The sequence below is a fragment of the Homo sapiens genome, chromosome 15 (genome assembly GCF_000001405.40).
Source record: "Homo sapiens chromosome 15, GRCh38.p14 Primary Assembly".
Lineage (NCBI taxonomy): Eukaryota > Metazoa > Chordata > Mammalia > Primates > Hominidae > Homo > Homo sapiens.
The window spans coordinates 84,742,900-84,758,218 of NC_000015.10; the positions used below are offsets into that span (position 1 = coordinate 84,742,900).

Consider the following 15,319-nt stretch of genomic DNA (forward strand, 5'->3'; position numbering starts at 1 on the left):
GTTTGGTCCTAAACCTATTTATGGTAGCTATATGCCAGAGTTTAATAAACTGATGAATTATCCATCAGTTTATTAAAATTACATAGATTAAACATAAGCATGAAAAGAGCTGTCTCTATGACATATCAGTTGCATGCTTTGAAAATATTAGCTAAAGACCAGTTGAAATTACTACTAAACCAGATGTGAGCAAGAGAACTACAAAAGGTTTTTTTTTAAAGCCTCTACTTATACTGCTTTGTAAGAAGTTTTAAGTACACAGTCAACTTGGAAGCCAGGTTTTATATATATATATGTATTTGTAAATAGCCAAGCATGGTGGTGAACGCCTGCAGTCCCAGCTACTCAGGAGGCTGAGGTGGGAGGATCATTTGTACCCAGGAGGTTGAGGCTGCAGTGAGTCATTATCACACCACTGTACTCTTAACACTCTAGCCTAGGTGACTGACAAAAAAAAAAAAAAAAAAAAGGATAGGAAAGCATAGAAAATGCATCGTGGATATGATTGATGTAAGAAAGGCAGCTCAAGAACAATAATCAAAAAAGGTTTGGTCCTAGGTCTAAAGATTGGCAAGGCAAGTGGGTGTTCTTTATAGTTTTGAAGTTAAAATGAAATATTAGGGTGTATATTTGCCATTTGTTGTTATTCACTGCTTAAATATTCTTTTCCAATTAAAGGATGAACTATTGGGCCAGGTCTAATTTTTTGGGCATCAGGAGTAGGGAAGGGGATGTAAATCCTTATCCTTATCCTCTAAATCCTTTTGTTTCCATAGAAGGGCAGGTAGGAGTGAAGTTGTTCTGATTCTTCCAGCAGAGACTTACCTAACTGCTGAATTCAGACCTGCCTGACCTAAGAGAGGGTGCAATCTTCTCTAATTAGACACGGTTAATATGGTTAGGCCTCTGCAAAGGGGAGAATGGAGGTTTTGGGAAAATAATTTTATTTTTTATTTTTTCCTTTTTATGGAGAACAGGGTCTTGCTATGTTGCCCAGGCTGGTCTTTAACTCCTGGATTCAAGCAATCCTCCCACCTCTGCCTCCCTAAGTGCTGGAATTACAGGTGTGAGCAACCATGCCTGGCTGGAAATAATTTTAATTCAGGGAAAAATATTAAAAAGCTTATTGGCCACCATCTAAGCCACATTCTTCAGTTCAGCTTTATTGGTAATAAAGCTGATATTTTCACCTTTCCATTGCTTCCAAACTTATAAGGAAGAGATTAAACTTATTGCCCTTATAATACTCCAACAGTGTTAGATAAGATGGCCTCAATGTATTGTCACAACTAAGATAACAGTTACAATCAAGACATTATTTTTCCTTTTATTTTAGTCCACCATTCTATTCATTCAAATAAAAAATTGTCTCTGGTCTACCTTGTTTGAAGTTCAATCTGTATCTTGAGCTGGACAAAGAAGAAAATGTTTATAGCCCCTGAGAAATATTGATATTAGGAAATATATACTGAGAAGGGAAGAGAAACCCAAACATGGCTCCTGTCAATCCTTCCATCCCACCCCTCCACAGCATCTTAGAAGAGTCTCGTCTGTCCTGTTGATTTCTGGGACATGTAAACATGGCAAGCTTAAGGGTGCAGGCTATCTGGCTATAGTTGAGCCTCTTTTCAATGTCCTTTGTGACCCAGCAGTGGGTTATGGAATCAATGTAGTAGGTCCTGATCAGCATTTAAAAAGAATAAGATTAATCAGTTGAAAATATCAGAGTGCATTTCATAAAATAAGGGTAGTATTTCATGAAACTTTCGTCTTACGGGGTGTGTGTGTGTGTGTGTGTGTGTGTGTGTGTGTGTGCGCGCAGGCATGCGTATGTTCTGGGTTGAGGTGTAAAATACATTTCTTATGGAGGATTGCAGTCAAAAAAGTTTTCAAAGTACTAGTTTAAGGTGCACATTTCTTTTTCCTTTCCATTTTACTCTTTGCTAATTTGTTCTCGCTCTGAAACTGTGCTGGTGAATAGAAATTGTAGTCATTAATAGCCAGAGAAGCAAGGCCCAACTTTCAGTCTGTAAACAGCTGTAATGCAAAGACTGCTGCCCCTAACTCATTGCTCTGAGTCAATTAGATGTCCAAATATTAGGACTGATGGGTTGAGACCTCAAACCTCATTGAGTAAGAAGTTACAGGACAATTTATTTGCAAATTTATTACCTGCACTGTTCAAGCCTCAGTGGTTCTTCCTGACATGCAAAAGACACAGGGTTCAGCTTGGCATTCAGGACCATTTTTGATATAGTCATTATTTTTCCTTTTATTTTAGTCCATGAAACCCCATTTCCTACCTTACCTTTCCACATTGATTCCCCTACTTTTCTTCTACACCAGTCCTGTGCTCCAGCCAAATGGATTTCTTGGTGCTCCCCTCTGAACACTCCATCTATTTCCCACTGTGGGTTCTTGGTTGTACTGTTCCTTCTGCCTGGGACAGTCTCCTTACTCAGCCCATCTCTATTTGCTAAAGTCCCATCTACACTTCAAAGATTCATTTCCAAATTCCTTTCCAGAGTCCTAATATATTTTTCTTTTTCTTTTGAGACAGATTCTCACTCTGTTGCCCAGACTGGAGTGCAGTGGTGCAATCTCAGCTCACTGCAACCTCCACCTCCTGGGTTCAAGTGATTCTCATGCTTCAGCCACCCAAGTAGCTGGGACTACAGGCGTGCCACCACGCCTGTACTTTTAGTAGAGATGGGGTTTCACCATGTTGGCCAGGCTGGTCCCATACTCCTGACCTCAGGTGATCCACCAGCCTCGGCCTCCCAAGTAGCTGGAATTACAGGCATGAGCCATCATGCCCAGCCCTAATATTTTTTTCTTTCGAACCCCATAAATATCTTTTAAAAAACACCTTTCTTAAAAATACTTTTAAAAGCTACTTAAAGATACCATTTCCCTGCTTCCAGGAGAAATATACATGCACTATAAAAATAAGAAAATATAGATGTCACAGAAGAAAAGTCTCATTTTAAAATCTACGCATTATACTTATTTATGTATATTTATATATTACCATCTGCTATATCACCTTATAATGTGCTTTTAATTATAAAGATTTCCCACATCATTAAATCTTTTTATTTACCATGATTTTTAATGGCCACAAACTCTAGTTTATTTAACAATCATATAACTATAATATAATAATATAATATTGGGCATTTTTCCTGCTTATAGGTAGGGTGCAATATTTTGAGGTAATATAAATGGACTAATATCTGGGATATGGTGACAAATCTTCCAAAGAGCACAATATTTTTTGCAAACAAGAAATTAGGGCCTGAGATAATTAGGAGAAATGTAAGTTCCCAATGAAACTCTGGAGATATTGGCAGGTATGCTGGGTTTCTTAAGTGGTACACAGGTTTGGAGTCAATTGTACTTAAATTTTAAAGGACAGTGACCCCAGCTGCCCTAAGGATGATTGTAGAGGGTAATCCAGGCAGCTGATCCATGGAAGCATGCATGCCTCCCTACCTCAAAATATTTCAATCTTTATGCACTCTTTAAATCTTGTAGGAAGAGGCGGACTTCTCTGACTTTTTGCTCACCCCTTTCCCCCTTCCCATCTACTTTTCCTTTTCTGGTTTCTTGCACCATCAATTATCCTACATCTATCTGCCATTCTCCCCTCTCAGCTCCTTTAGTTAAGGTCTCCCCACTCAAGTTAGGAAAAAAAAAAAAAAAATCACCGGCCAGGCATGGTGGCTCATGCCTGTAATTCCAACACTTTGGGAGGCTAAGGCAGGTGGATCACCTTAGGTCAGGAGTTCGAGACCAGCCTGGCCAACATGGCGAACCCCCATCTCTACTAAAAATACAAAAATTAGGGCCGGGTGCGGTGGCTCATGCATGTAATCCCAGCACTTTCGGAGGCCGAGGCGGGTGGATGACCTGAGTTCAGGAGTTTGAGACCAGCCTGACCAACATGTTGAAACCCCATTTCCACTAAAAATACAAAATTAGTCAGGCATGGTGGCGCATGCCTGTAATCCCAGCTACTCGGGAGGCTGAGGCAGGAGAATCGGTTGAACCCAGGAGGCAGAGGTTGCAGTGAGCCGAGATTGTGCCATTGCACTGCAGCCTGGGCAACAAGAGCGAAACTCTCTCTCAAAAAAAAAAAAAAAAAAAAAAAAAAAAAAAGCCAGGCATGGTGGCGTGCGCCTGTAATTCCAGCTACTTTGAAGGCTGAGGCTGGATTATCACTGGAACTCTGGAGGTAGAGGTTGCAGTGAGCCGAGACCACGCAATTGCACTACAGCCTGGGCTGCGAGACCGAAACTCCGTCTCCAAAGACAAAAAAAAAAAACAAAAAACAATCAACTTTTCCCTTTACTCTTTTGCAGAGAGGGAGGGTCTCGCTATGTTGCCCAGGCTGAACTCAAACTTCTCGGCTTAAGGGATGCTTTTGCCTCAGCTTCCACAGTAGGACCCAACTTTCTCCTTTACTCTTGGTACTTCTTGAGCTCCAGGCCTACTTTTCTCTCTCTCACTGCCAAACATTTGAAATCATCACCCTTTATTAACTCCATTGCTTCATTGGCTAACATACTCTTTAGACAAGCTCTTCAACTCAGTTCTGTGCCTGGTGCACAGCAGGCTCCGGCTGCATGTTAGTTCCAGCCATCTTGCACATTTGCATCTCCTTCCTGGAGAAGGAATTTCTCCATGGTTAGCAGTGTGTGCTCACTCCTAGTCACCAGGGCCTCATCTCCGTGTTCCCACACCCTGACCTTGCTGCCGCCCTAATGCTGCGGACCCAGTTTCCAGGTACGCCGGGTTCTTGGAAGGTCCTGCCGGTCACCCTCCCAGCCTTCTGCCAGACTCACTGAGTTCTCACCCTGCACAGTCATCGTTTCCCCAGTAACCCTGAGAGATCTCCCAGTCTACCTCTTCGAGGCACCCGTTGCCAGTCCTCCATCTCTGTTTGCCGCGCGTCCCTCGGTTACCCCAGAGGCAACACGTCAGGCTGCCCCGCACCTCCAAGCCTGCGCGAATGTCCTTGTAGCCAGCTATGACCAAACATTTAGGGCGCACCTGAGCGCCAGGCCCACGCCACCCCTGCTTGCTTTCACTTAACAGCCTCGACTAGGCCCCCTATGCGCCAGGTCTCAGTGAAGAGGACGCAGTCCCGGGTCCTGGGCGCTCTTTGCCGGGCGAGACAGCTGCGTAGGCAGATCCTGTTCCTCTAGTGGGCGGCCTCGGCCCCTGCCCCTGCCCCGAGGCGCGTCAGAGGACAAGAGGCCCAGGTCGCTGGCAGCGGCTGCCTGCCCGACCGCACAGGGTGCCTAGCACGGGTGGCGGGGACTGGAGCCGGGCGGGGGCCGGCCGGGGTCGGGGGTCCAGCCCTGAGCGGCGCCGTCCCCGCCCCGCCCCGTCCCGTCGCGTCCCGCCCCGCCCTACCCGCCGCCGCCGTCGTCGCCGTCGCCGGGCCTGCGCCGCGCAGCCCGCCTCGGGCGGGAGGCGGGAGGCGGGAGGCCGGGCCCAGGCCGGGGCAGCCCCTCCACCGCACCGTCCTGGGCCGGTGCCCAGGTCCGAGTCGCCTTCCGCCTGCCCCCCCCCCCCCCCAATCCCCCGCCGCGGCAGCCCCAGCCAGGTCCCGCCGCCAGGCCGGCTCCCGCCCCCGCTCCGCCCCCGGAGCCGCAGCCCCGCCCGCCATCGCCGTCGCCATGTTGTGGCTCCCGCAGCCGGCGCTGGGGACGCGCGCGGCCGAGACTCTGGCCTGCAGTCGCCGCCGCCGCCGCCAGGTAAGCGCCCCCCGCGGGCCGGGCCGAGCGGGGCCTGCGGGCCGGGGCAGCCCCAGCCTGGGCCCGGGAGGATCGCAGCCGGGACCGAGTCCGAGCCCGAGCCGGGGCCCGGCCCTGCAGCCTGGCGGACCCTGGCCGCCGCCAGAGGCGGCAGCCACTTCCCCCGACCGCCGCCTGGCGGGCCCGGGCCGCCACCCCACCCCGCCCCCGGCCGTCGGGCGCCGGCCCCTTCCGCCGCTGCGACCGCCGCTGCGACCGCCGCTCCTTGGCAGGCCGGGCACGCTGCTGTCCTCCGCGCTGGGCGGGACGTGCGGCCGCCCTCGGCGATAGCCGGCGGCCCCCAGCCCGGGCACGGATAACGGTGCCACTTTCTCCCTCTGGGACGGCCTGTCAGCCCGACCGTCCCCGCCGCCCGAAGAGCTGTCGCCGTCACAGGGCAGACACTTCGGGGAACGACCCTCTTTGGCGCTCCTCAGTACTCCCCTCCCCTGAGCCCAAGTTCTGACCCTGAGGAAGGTTTCTCCCGGAGCAGACAGGTATTCCTAGAGCTCCAGAGTTGGGGTCCTCAGGGGTGACCAGGCCTGTTGATCAGGGTGAAAATTGTCTCTCTGCAAGGGCTCTTCCTGCCAACGAGGGGGTTGGCGGGAGGCTCAGTGTGACCTGAGGGAGGACAGGAGAGCGTCTGCTGGACAGATGGCCTCCTGGCCTTGGATCAGCGTTTGTGAGGGGGAGGGGTCCGTATGACCTTAGGTATGCCTGCTCCTGAGTACTGCAGGATTATTGAAGCTGTTTAGGGATTTTAAACCATTTTTTGAGTAGGCCAAAGGTGGCATTAAAGGTCCTGGATTGGAATAAGTCCACAGGCCCACCCAGGGAAGCATGTTTGGCATCCAGGACTAGTCTAGAATAGGACTGGCAGTAGAAGAATGGGACTTGGGGAGTAAGACGGTATTTGGCTTATGGTTTGCCCACTTGAGTTCAGGCCTGTGCTCATGGAGGGCCTGTAGGGTGCTTCTGTCGCGGGTGCAGTGTGGTGCACAGTGTGGCAGAGTGCGGAGGATGTGGACAGACAGATTCCTGGCCTGGTGGATGCTTGGTGGTATTTTAGTAGTCTGTTTCCTCAACCTCACTGTTACGTTACACAGTGAAAGGGGCAGAAGTGTGGTGCTAGTGCGTCCATTTTGATCATTTTCCAATTTTTCAACTAGTTGTGGCTTTGATTCATTAAATAAATTTTTACTGAGCACTTACTCTGTGCCAGGCACTGAGCTAGGTGTTGGGAGTACATTGGTAAGCCAGAAAGATACCATGTTTTAGTTCTTAGCCATTGGGAAAGTCTAATAATTAATAGTCGTGGCCGGGCGCGGTGGCTCGCGCCTGTAATCCCAGCACTTTGGGAGGCCGAGGCGGGTGGATCGCCTGAGATCAGGAGTTCGAGACCAGCCTGACCAACATGGTGAAACCCCGTCTCCACTAAAAAAATACAAAATTAGCCGGGTGTGGTGGTGCATGCCTGTAATCCCAGCTACTTGGGAGGCTGAGGCACGATAATTGCTTGAACCCGGGAGGCGGAGGTTGCAGTGACCTGAGATCGTGCCGTTGCACTCTAGCTTGGGCTACAGAGTGAGACTCCATCTCAAAATAAATAAATAGTCGTGGAAATTTATTCAACAACAAATATTTGTCAACAAATACGTGTTAGGCATTGTTCTAGATGCAGTGAACAAAGAAAGCAAAAATGATTGCCCTTGTGGTGCTTTCCTGGGAGTGGGGGAGAAGACAATAAATAAAATATATAACAAAAATATAGTCTGTTAAAAAGTGTGAAATGCTAAGGAGAAGAAGGAAGCAGGGAAGGAGAATCTGAGGTATCAGGGGTGGTAGTTGAATTTATATTATACGGTGGCCTGGGAAGGCTTCCTAAGAAGGTGTCTTTCGAGTAAAACTTGGAAGTGGTAAACTAATAATTCAAACTATAGTGAATATAAGAAGAGAAAGCTGAAGAGAGGGGTAAGAGACCGATTTGAGTTGGGGGCTCAGGGAAGCCTTCCCTGGGGAAGTGATGTTTAGGCCAAGATCTGAAGGAGGGTTAAGAGTTAACCATGTGTGGAGCTGACTGTAGCAAGGAGGAAGTGAAAGAGGCCTGTGGGGCTGGAGGGGGAAAGGGAGAGGGGAGATTAGTCTGGAGACTAGGGCCAAATTAGAGCAATGGGGCCTTGGGGGCAGAATGCCTCCCTCCTTAGTTTGGTTTGTATCTCCAGTGTAATTAGGAACCTTTGAAGGGTTTAAGGGAATGACATGATATTTACATTTTAAAAGGTGTCTAGCCCCTGTGCAGGGAATGGACTTTTGAGATAAGCAGGTAAGGCAAGGCTTTCTGGGTTGAGTGGCTTAACTACCTGATCTGTTTGGAAAAGCCTCAAGCAGTCTGGGGGAGATCCTTTGCCTCTGTGAGTCTGCTTCATCCAGCTTTTAGGAAGGGAAGGCAAAAATGAATTAACATTTATGGAGTACCTGCCAGGTGGGAGAACCAATTTTAAAGACTTCTGCATACATTATTGTATTTAACTTAGTCCTCTCTACACCCTAAGAAAAAGAGGTTATCATACCCATTTTACAAAGAAATAAATGCAGAGGGGATAGATGACTTATTCAAAGCCACATTTGTAACATAGCCTGGATTCAAAGCACGTCTGCCTGAATTCAGAGCCCACTGGCTCTGGAGCCAGACCACTGAAGTTTGCATTTTGCTCCTGTCACTTGCTAACCAATGATCTTGAGTTATTTAGCCTCTCTTGTGCCTCAGTTTGCTCACATTTTAAGTGCAGATAAAACTCCCTCATACAGTTGTTGTACAGATTAAGTCATGTAAACAGTTGAGCACTGGGTTCAAATATTAGTTGCTTTTATTATTTTAAAAATTTTTATTACTTTTTTTTTTTTTTTAAACTGGAGACAAGCTGGATGCGGTGGCTCATGTCTGTAATCCCAGCACTGTGGGACACTGAGGCGGGTGGATCACCTAAGGTCAGGAGTTCGAGGCCATCCTGGCCAACATGGCGAAACCCTGTCTCTACTAAAAATATAAAAATTAGCTGGGCATGGTGGCACGCGCCTGTAGTCCCAGCTTCTCAGGAGGCTGAGGCAGGAGAATTGCTTTAACCTGGGAGGTGAAGGTTGCAGTGAGCTAAGATTGAGCCACTGCACTCTAGCCTGGGTGACAGAGCGAGACTCCATCTCAAAAAACAAACAAACGAAAACAACAACAACAAAAAAAACTAGAGACAGTGTCTCACTATGCTGCCCAGGCTGGCCTTGAACTCCTGGCCTCAAGTGATCCTCCCACCTCCACCTCCCAAAGTGCTGGGATTGCAGACATGAGCCACCAGTCAGGCCTTTGGTTTTATTATTTAAATGTTTGAAATATCCACGTTGCATCTCAGTCATACTGTGGTCATTTTGAATGAGATTAAATGTATAGATAATTTATTTCTTGAATTTCGTGTGACTTTTTTTTCCTCTCATCTTCTCTTAATAACTTAATGCCATGTTCCATGTGATCAGTCATTCAACATCAAGCTCCCATTTCAGGCTTGACACTGTATAAGAACTTGTGGGATACATAGTGAGTTTCTTCCTGGAGCTTAGAGTATCCAGTGGAGCTCAGATATTTTAAAGGATGAGTTACAGTGTACTTAAGTTCTCTAGCACAGTTGCGGTTAAAGAGCTATTTGAAACAGTAAGAATGAAATCCCTGGGTAAATAGGCTTCAGGGAGGAGGTGACTTTTGAACTAGGCTTTGGAGGAAGAGTAGGAGTTTTACAGGCAAATAAGATTGAGCAAAGAACATTCTAGGTAGATAGAATCATAGGTATGAAAGCATGGAGCCATGGTAGCCCCCAGTGTTTGGGGATGAGGCTGGAAAGCTAAGTTGGGGCTGTGAAAGGCAGGTCAAGGAGTTTGGATTTTATTCTGTAAGCCATGGGGAGCTACCAGAGAGTCTTAGATACATCACATACATCCCATGATAGACGTTGCAGTTAGAGAGTGGAGATAGATGTTATCGTGGGGCAGCTTTATTTGGGGGGCATCACTGTGCTTCAGGATCTGTTTCTCTGCTTCGTAGACCAGAAATTTAGTTTTGTAGGGTGCTCAGAGCTGATTGGATCCAGAGAGACTGACTCACTAACCAAACTTGGAAGAGACTCCTGAATAAACTTAGGATATTAACTGACCATGAGAAATGAAACTGCAGAGTGACAGATGTTTCTGTCCTCTGGCCATTGCTCCTCACTTTCTGGCCAGGGCTGGGACATACTAACAAACACTTGCTCCTCAATTCCTGTTTGTTTTTCTCAGGCTCCATGAAAACGAACCCTTTCTGTTAACATAATCTTTCCTCAAGCACTATTTAGTATAGTCAACAATGATTATTAATTGATAGAATGAATAATTCTGTATTGTTTATGTGGGATCCTGTATTTGTGAAACTTAAGGAATGGGACGAGTAATAGAAATAAAATATCAGAAAGGAGCGTTCCATAGAGTTAGGTTAATGGAGAAGGTATGCAGATTCTAAGTAGTGTGCGTAAATTTGTGGCTAGCAGTGGTTGTGGGCAGATGCGTCGGAAGTTGTTCTGGGAACAGAGGTCTGTGAACTCTTGGAGGAGGTAGGGGGCTTTTGGCTGCATGTGAAGGAAACACTGATTTAGGATCTTTATCTTCCCTACACATTGGAGACAGAAAAGAAAACAATTCCCACCCTCAACTCAGCCAGATCATGGTGAGTTTTAATTTAATTTAATTTATTTTGTTATTTTATTTTTGAGATGGAGTCTCACTCTGTTGCCCAGGCTGGAGTTCAATGGTGCCATCTTGGCTCCCTGCAACCTCCACCTCCCGGATTCCAGCGATTCTCCTGCCTCAGCCTCCTGAGTAGCTGGGACTACAGGCGTGCGCCACCACACCCAGCTAATTTTTGTATTTTTAGTAGAGACGGGGTTTCACCATGTTGGCCAGCCTGGTCTTGAACTCCTGACCTCAAATGATCCGCCTGCCTTGGCCTCCTAAAGTGCTGGGATTACAGGCATGAGCCCCTATGCCTGGCCTTATTCCTATCTTTACATGTAAGTTTGTTTAAACTTTTCTTAAAAAATAGGAACATCCTGAATAGGAGAGAGTTCTGAATGTTTGATGTCCTTGAGGTAGAGCAATTGCATGTACCCAAAATCTGTGTGTTTTCATTTGTGGGCATCTGGTCCAGCGGCCTCCCTTTGCTTGCTCCAAGGGTGTAGGATGTGTTATCCATTAGCTAATTACTTTTGGGAAATGTTTTCAGAGGATCAGAGTGCTACTTCAGCCAACCATTTGCTTTTGTTTAACAGCAGGGGAATTGTGTGTGTGTGTGTTTGTTGAAATGACACATTTGATCCTTTTTATGGCTCAGAGAAAAGTTAATGAATACCTTTCGAGTTTGGTGCCACGGCAGTCATTCCTCAAAGCTGTCAGCACTTATGGGCTGTCGTCCCCTGGTCACTGCGTGACTTTGGTTAAGTTCCTTACCTTTTCCATTTCAGATTCTGAAAGTGTTAAATCCAGAGGTAATAATGGGCAGCTGGGCACGGTGGCTCGTGCTTGTAATCCCAGCAGTACTTTGGGAGGATGAGGTGGGCGGATCACTTGAGGTCAGGAGTTCGAGACCAGCCTGGCCAATATGGTAAAATCCCATCTCTACTAAAAATACAAAAACAAGCTGATTGTGGTGGCACACGCCTGTAGTCCCAGCTACTTGGGAGGCTGAGGCAGGAGAATTGCTTGAGCCCAGGAGGCTGACGTTGCAGTGAGCCAAGATTGTGCCACTGCACTCCAGCCTAGGCGACAGAGCTAGATTCCATTTCAAAAAAAAAAGGTGATGATGGTGGGGCCCGGCATGGTGGTTTACACCTGTAATCCCAGCACTTTGGGAGTGCTGAGGTGGGAGAATTGCTTGATCCCAGGAGTTCGAGACCAGCCTGGGCAACATTGAAAGACCCCGTCTCTTAAAAAAAAAAAAAAAAAGAGAGGTAATGGTGGCTCCCTTTCTCTCATCAACACACTCTGGGGGATGAAAAGGATGATAATGTCTATGTGTGTGATAGATTGTAGAACGACTGCCACTGTGTTGAGTGAAGAAAAGGAGTATGTCTGCTGAACAGATTAACTTCTGGTCTCCAATCAGTATGTGTGGTGGCGTAGGGGGACTGCATGACTTTAACTTTTTATTTTTGAGAGGTCTAGGATTATTGCAATCCCCTGAGTTGTTTTTTTTTTTTTTTTTTTCATGGCAGAGTGTCACTCTGTTGCCCAGGCTGGAGTGCAGTGGTGCGATCTCAGCTCACTGCAACCTCTGCCTCCCAGGTTCAGGTGATCTCAGCCTCCGGAGTAGCTGGGACTACAGGCGTCCATCACCACACCCAGCTAATTTTTTTTTTTTTTTTTTTTTAGTAGAGTTGGTGTTTCACCATGTTGGCCAAGCTGGTCTCAAACTGTTAACTTCAAGTGATCCTCCTGCCTCTGCCTCCCAAAGTGCTGGGATTACAGGCATGAGTCACTGCACCTGGCTGAGATTTGAAAACTTTAAAGAAGTTTTTTTTAATTTTTTTTTATTTTTTTAAGAGATGAGGTCTCTATATTGCCTAGGCTAGCCTCAAACTCCTGGGCTCAAGCAATCCTCCTGCCTTAGCCTCTTGAGTAGCTGGGACTATAGACATGCACCACTGTGCCCAGCTTGAAACTTTTTTGAGTAGTCCAGAGGTGGCGTTAAGGGTCTTCCTCCATAAAAATAAATCCACAGGCTCATCCAGAGAACACGAGACCTACATCCCAGGGCTAACTCAGAATAGACTTGCTTCTCTGTAAGGACAGAGTTTACAGTAAGATCTTACCTCTGAGTGGAGGGATTGGGGTGGTTTTTACTTTATTCTTAATATTTTCTTCCTATCATTTGAATTTTATACAGACACATATATCATCTTTACAAAAACAAACAAGCATCCTATAAGCCGAATTTCATTTTGGAGACAAACATTGAATGCCCTAAAGCAAAAACTCAAAAACTGCCTAGAACTATGTCCCTATAGAGATGTATGATGTTGGAGTTGGCCTCCTCTGTCACTCTCAGGGTAAGATGCTTTTGTTAGATATGCATTCAAACAGGTGGATTAGGCTAGCACCTCTGATTGGGATAGTCCCTGAATTCAGAGAGGCAGGGCTGCACCTATCTGGGAGGAGCTGATGAGTAGAGTGTGACTTGGCTTCTAGCTTCATTAGTTGGTTGCTTTCTTTAGGGGTGTTTCTAAAGAAATCATTCCTTTTCTGGTGTGGCTCTGGGCTGACTCCTATGGACCATTGGGCTCAGTCTCTCACACAACAGCATGGGGATTCTAGAGGCCTTGATGTTACAACCTGGGGATCAAGGGACTGTTAAGAGAGAGAGTTCCCATTTGTAACCCTCACATGCATTCCTGGGATTTCCCCCCTTTTAGGGGTTTAGCTCATACTAGGGGCAAGGTGGAGGGCTGCTCCTTACAGCTAGTCTTTGGATACAGGAACATTTTACCCACATTGCCCTTGGCAAGCTAGAGCCAATGTGAGCCAGCAGAGTGGACTCTGGCTCCGCTTTTATTCCCCTGGTTTGCTGTAGTTTACAACATTCTACTTTTTTGTCAGTTCAGTTCCTGAAATTGAGGGTATTCCTTTACAAGCCAAAGGGCAGAGTGAGACTACACAGAGAGGTTTTGAAGGTAGGTGTCCATTGTAACTGCAAGCCATCTCAGGGACATTGTAGGGCCTGATGACACATTTGAGGCAGAGCTTTGGCATTTTCAGAGAAGGGGGCCCAGGGGTGGGCACTGAGCAGTTCAGATTTTTCTGGGCTTGGCCCAGCCAAAGCTCTGGTCTATGTGGCTGGGCTGCTATCTGCCTTTGTGCTGTTATCCTCCCCAGACTTGAACTTAACTGGCTGAGATTATAAAAACTATCACCATTTAATACTTTATTAAGGCTATAAATCTTTAGGCCCTTAAAAATATTATATATATTTTTTAAGAGATAGGAGTCTTGCTACATTGCCCTGGCTGGATTCGAAATCCTAGGCTCAAACGATCCTCCCTTTAAAAATTTTTTTTTGCTAGGCACAGTGGCTCACTCCTGTAATCCCAGTACTTTGGGAGGCCGAGGTGGGTGGATCACTTGAGGTCAGGAGTTCGAGACCAGCCTGGTCAACATGGTGAAACCCCGTCTCTACTAAAAATACAATAACGTAGCTGGCCATGGTGGTGCGCGCCTGTAGTCCCAACTACTTGGGAGGCTGAGGTGGGAGAATCGCTTGAACCTGGGAGGTAGAGGTTGCAGTGAGTCGACATTACGCCAGTGTACTCTGGCATGGGTGACAGAGTGAGACTGTCTCAATTAAAAAAAAAAATTATTTTTGTAGTGATGATGGGGTCTTGCTATATTGACCAAGCCAGTCTCAAACTCCTGGCTTCAAATAATCCTTCCACCTTAGCTTCACAAAGTGCTGGGATTACAGGCATGAGCCACAGCATCTGGCCCTCACCTTCCCAAGTATCTGGGACTACAGGTGTACCACTGTCCCTGATCATTATTCTTTTCTTTTCTTTTCTTTCTTTCTTTCCTTTTTTTTTTTTTTTTGAGAGATAGGGTCCAGCACTGTTACCCAGGCTGGAGTTGGAGTGCAGTGGTGCAATCATAGCTCATTACAGTCTTGACCTCCTGGGCTCAAACAATCCTTACACCTCAGCCTCCAGAGTGGGAACTACAGGCATGGGCCACAATGCCTGGTTAATTAGTTTTATTTTTTTATTTATTTTGTAGAGACAGGATCTCGCTGTGTTGACCAGGCTGGTTTCAAACTCCTGGCTTGAAGCGATCCTTCCACCTCGGCCTCCCAAAATGTGGGATTACAGGTGTGAGTCACTGTGCCTGGCTGCCATTAATCTTTTTTTTTTTTTTGAGATGGAGTCTCACTCTGTCCCCCAGGCTAGAGTGCAGTGGCATGATCTCAGCTCACTGCAACCTTCACCTCCCAGGTTCAAGCAATTCTCCTGCCTCAGCCTCCCAAGTAGCTGGGACTACAGGCACACGCTGCCATGTCTGGCTTTTTCTTTTTTGTATTTCAGTAGAGATGGGGTTGCACCATGTTGCCCAGGCTGGTCTCAAACTCCTGAGCTCAGGCAGTCCGCCCACCTCGGCCTCCCAAAGTGCTAGGATTACAGGCGTGAGCCACTGTGCCCAGCCGTTAATCCTTTTTTTTTTTCTTTTTTTTTGAAATGGAGTCTTGCTCTGTCGCCCAGGCTAGAGTGCAGTGGCAAGATCTCGGCTCACTGCCACCTCCGCCTCCCAGGTTAAAGGAATTCTCCTGCCTCAGCCTCCCGAGTAGCTGGGACTACAGGCGCCTGCCACCACACCCGGCTAATTTTTTATTTTTTTTAGTAGAGATGGGGTTTCACCATCTTGGCCAGGCTGGTCTCGAACTTCTGACCTTGTGATCCACC

The 15,319-nt window shown here is 47.0% G+C and overlaps 1 protein-coding gene across 4 annotated transcripts in view, besides 7 other annotated features; it reads left to right on the forward strand.

Moving 5' to 3' along the window:
* Nucleotides 4,845-5,144: an enhancer, noted in NCBI's record as "active region_9991". NCBI's record gives its function as "activates an Ori minimal core promoter by ATAC-STARR-seq in GM12878 lymphoblastoid cells {active_cell/tissue: GM12878}" and the evidence as "EXISTENCE:reporter gene assay evidence [ECO:0000049][PMID:35858748]".
* Nucleotides 5,215-5,634: a silencer, noted in NCBI's record as "silent region_6772". NCBI's record gives its function as "represses an Ori minimal core promoter by ATAC-STARR-seq in GM12878 lymphoblastoid cells {active_cell/tissue: GM12878}" and the evidence as "EXISTENCE:reporter gene assay evidence [ECO:0000049][PMID:35858748]".
* Nucleotides 5,215-6,184: a biological region, named in NCBI's record as "H3K27ac hESC enhancer GRCh37_chr15:85291347-85292186".
* Nucleotides 5,217-6,056: an enhancer, noted in NCBI's record as "H3K27ac hESC enhancer chr15:85291347-85292186 (GRCh37/hg19 assembly coordinates)". NCBI's record gives its function as "activates a minimal SCP1, AML or CMV promoter by ChIP-STARR-seq in naive H9 embryonic stem cells {active_cell/tissue: H9 hESC(naive)}" and the evidence as "EXISTENCE:reporter gene assay evidence [ECO:0000049][PMID:30033119]".
* Nucleotides 5,693-15,319, forward strand: part of ZNF592 (zinc finger protein 592) — a 57,854-nt gene continuing 48,227 nt past the window's right edge. For 2 of the 4 annotated variants that reach the window (NM_014630.3, XM_005254996.4), the window contains exon 1: nucleotides 5,693-5,765. The gene's annotated coding sequence lies outside the window, so the exon portion shown is untranslated. Of the gene's footprint in view, nucleotides 5,766-6,003; nucleotides 6,302-15,319 lie in introns of those variants that run through there. The other 2 variants (XM_011522246.3, XM_011522247.3) reach the window with 2 other exon arrangements.
* Nucleotides 5,695-6,184: a silencer, noted in NCBI's record as "silent region_6773". NCBI's record gives its function as "represses an Ori minimal core promoter by ATAC-STARR-seq in GM12878 lymphoblastoid cells {active_cell/tissue: GM12878}" and the evidence as "EXISTENCE:reporter gene assay evidence [ECO:0000049][PMID:35858748]".
* Nucleotides 6,585-6,664: an enhancer, noted in NCBI's record as "active region_9992". NCBI's record gives its function as "activates an Ori minimal core promoter by ATAC-STARR-seq in GM12878 lymphoblastoid cells {active_cell/tissue: GM12878}" and the evidence as "EXISTENCE:reporter gene assay evidence [ECO:0000049][PMID:35858748]".
* Nucleotides 12,447-12,616: an enhancer, noted in NCBI's record as "experimental_41887 CRE fragment used in MPRA reporter constructs". NCBI's record gives its function as "activates a minimal promoter by MPRAs in K562 erythroleukemia cells, with activity observed for the introgressed 15:85298662 variant allele {active_cell/tissue: K562}" and the evidence as "EXISTENCE:reporter gene assay evidence [ECO:0000049][PMID:34662402]".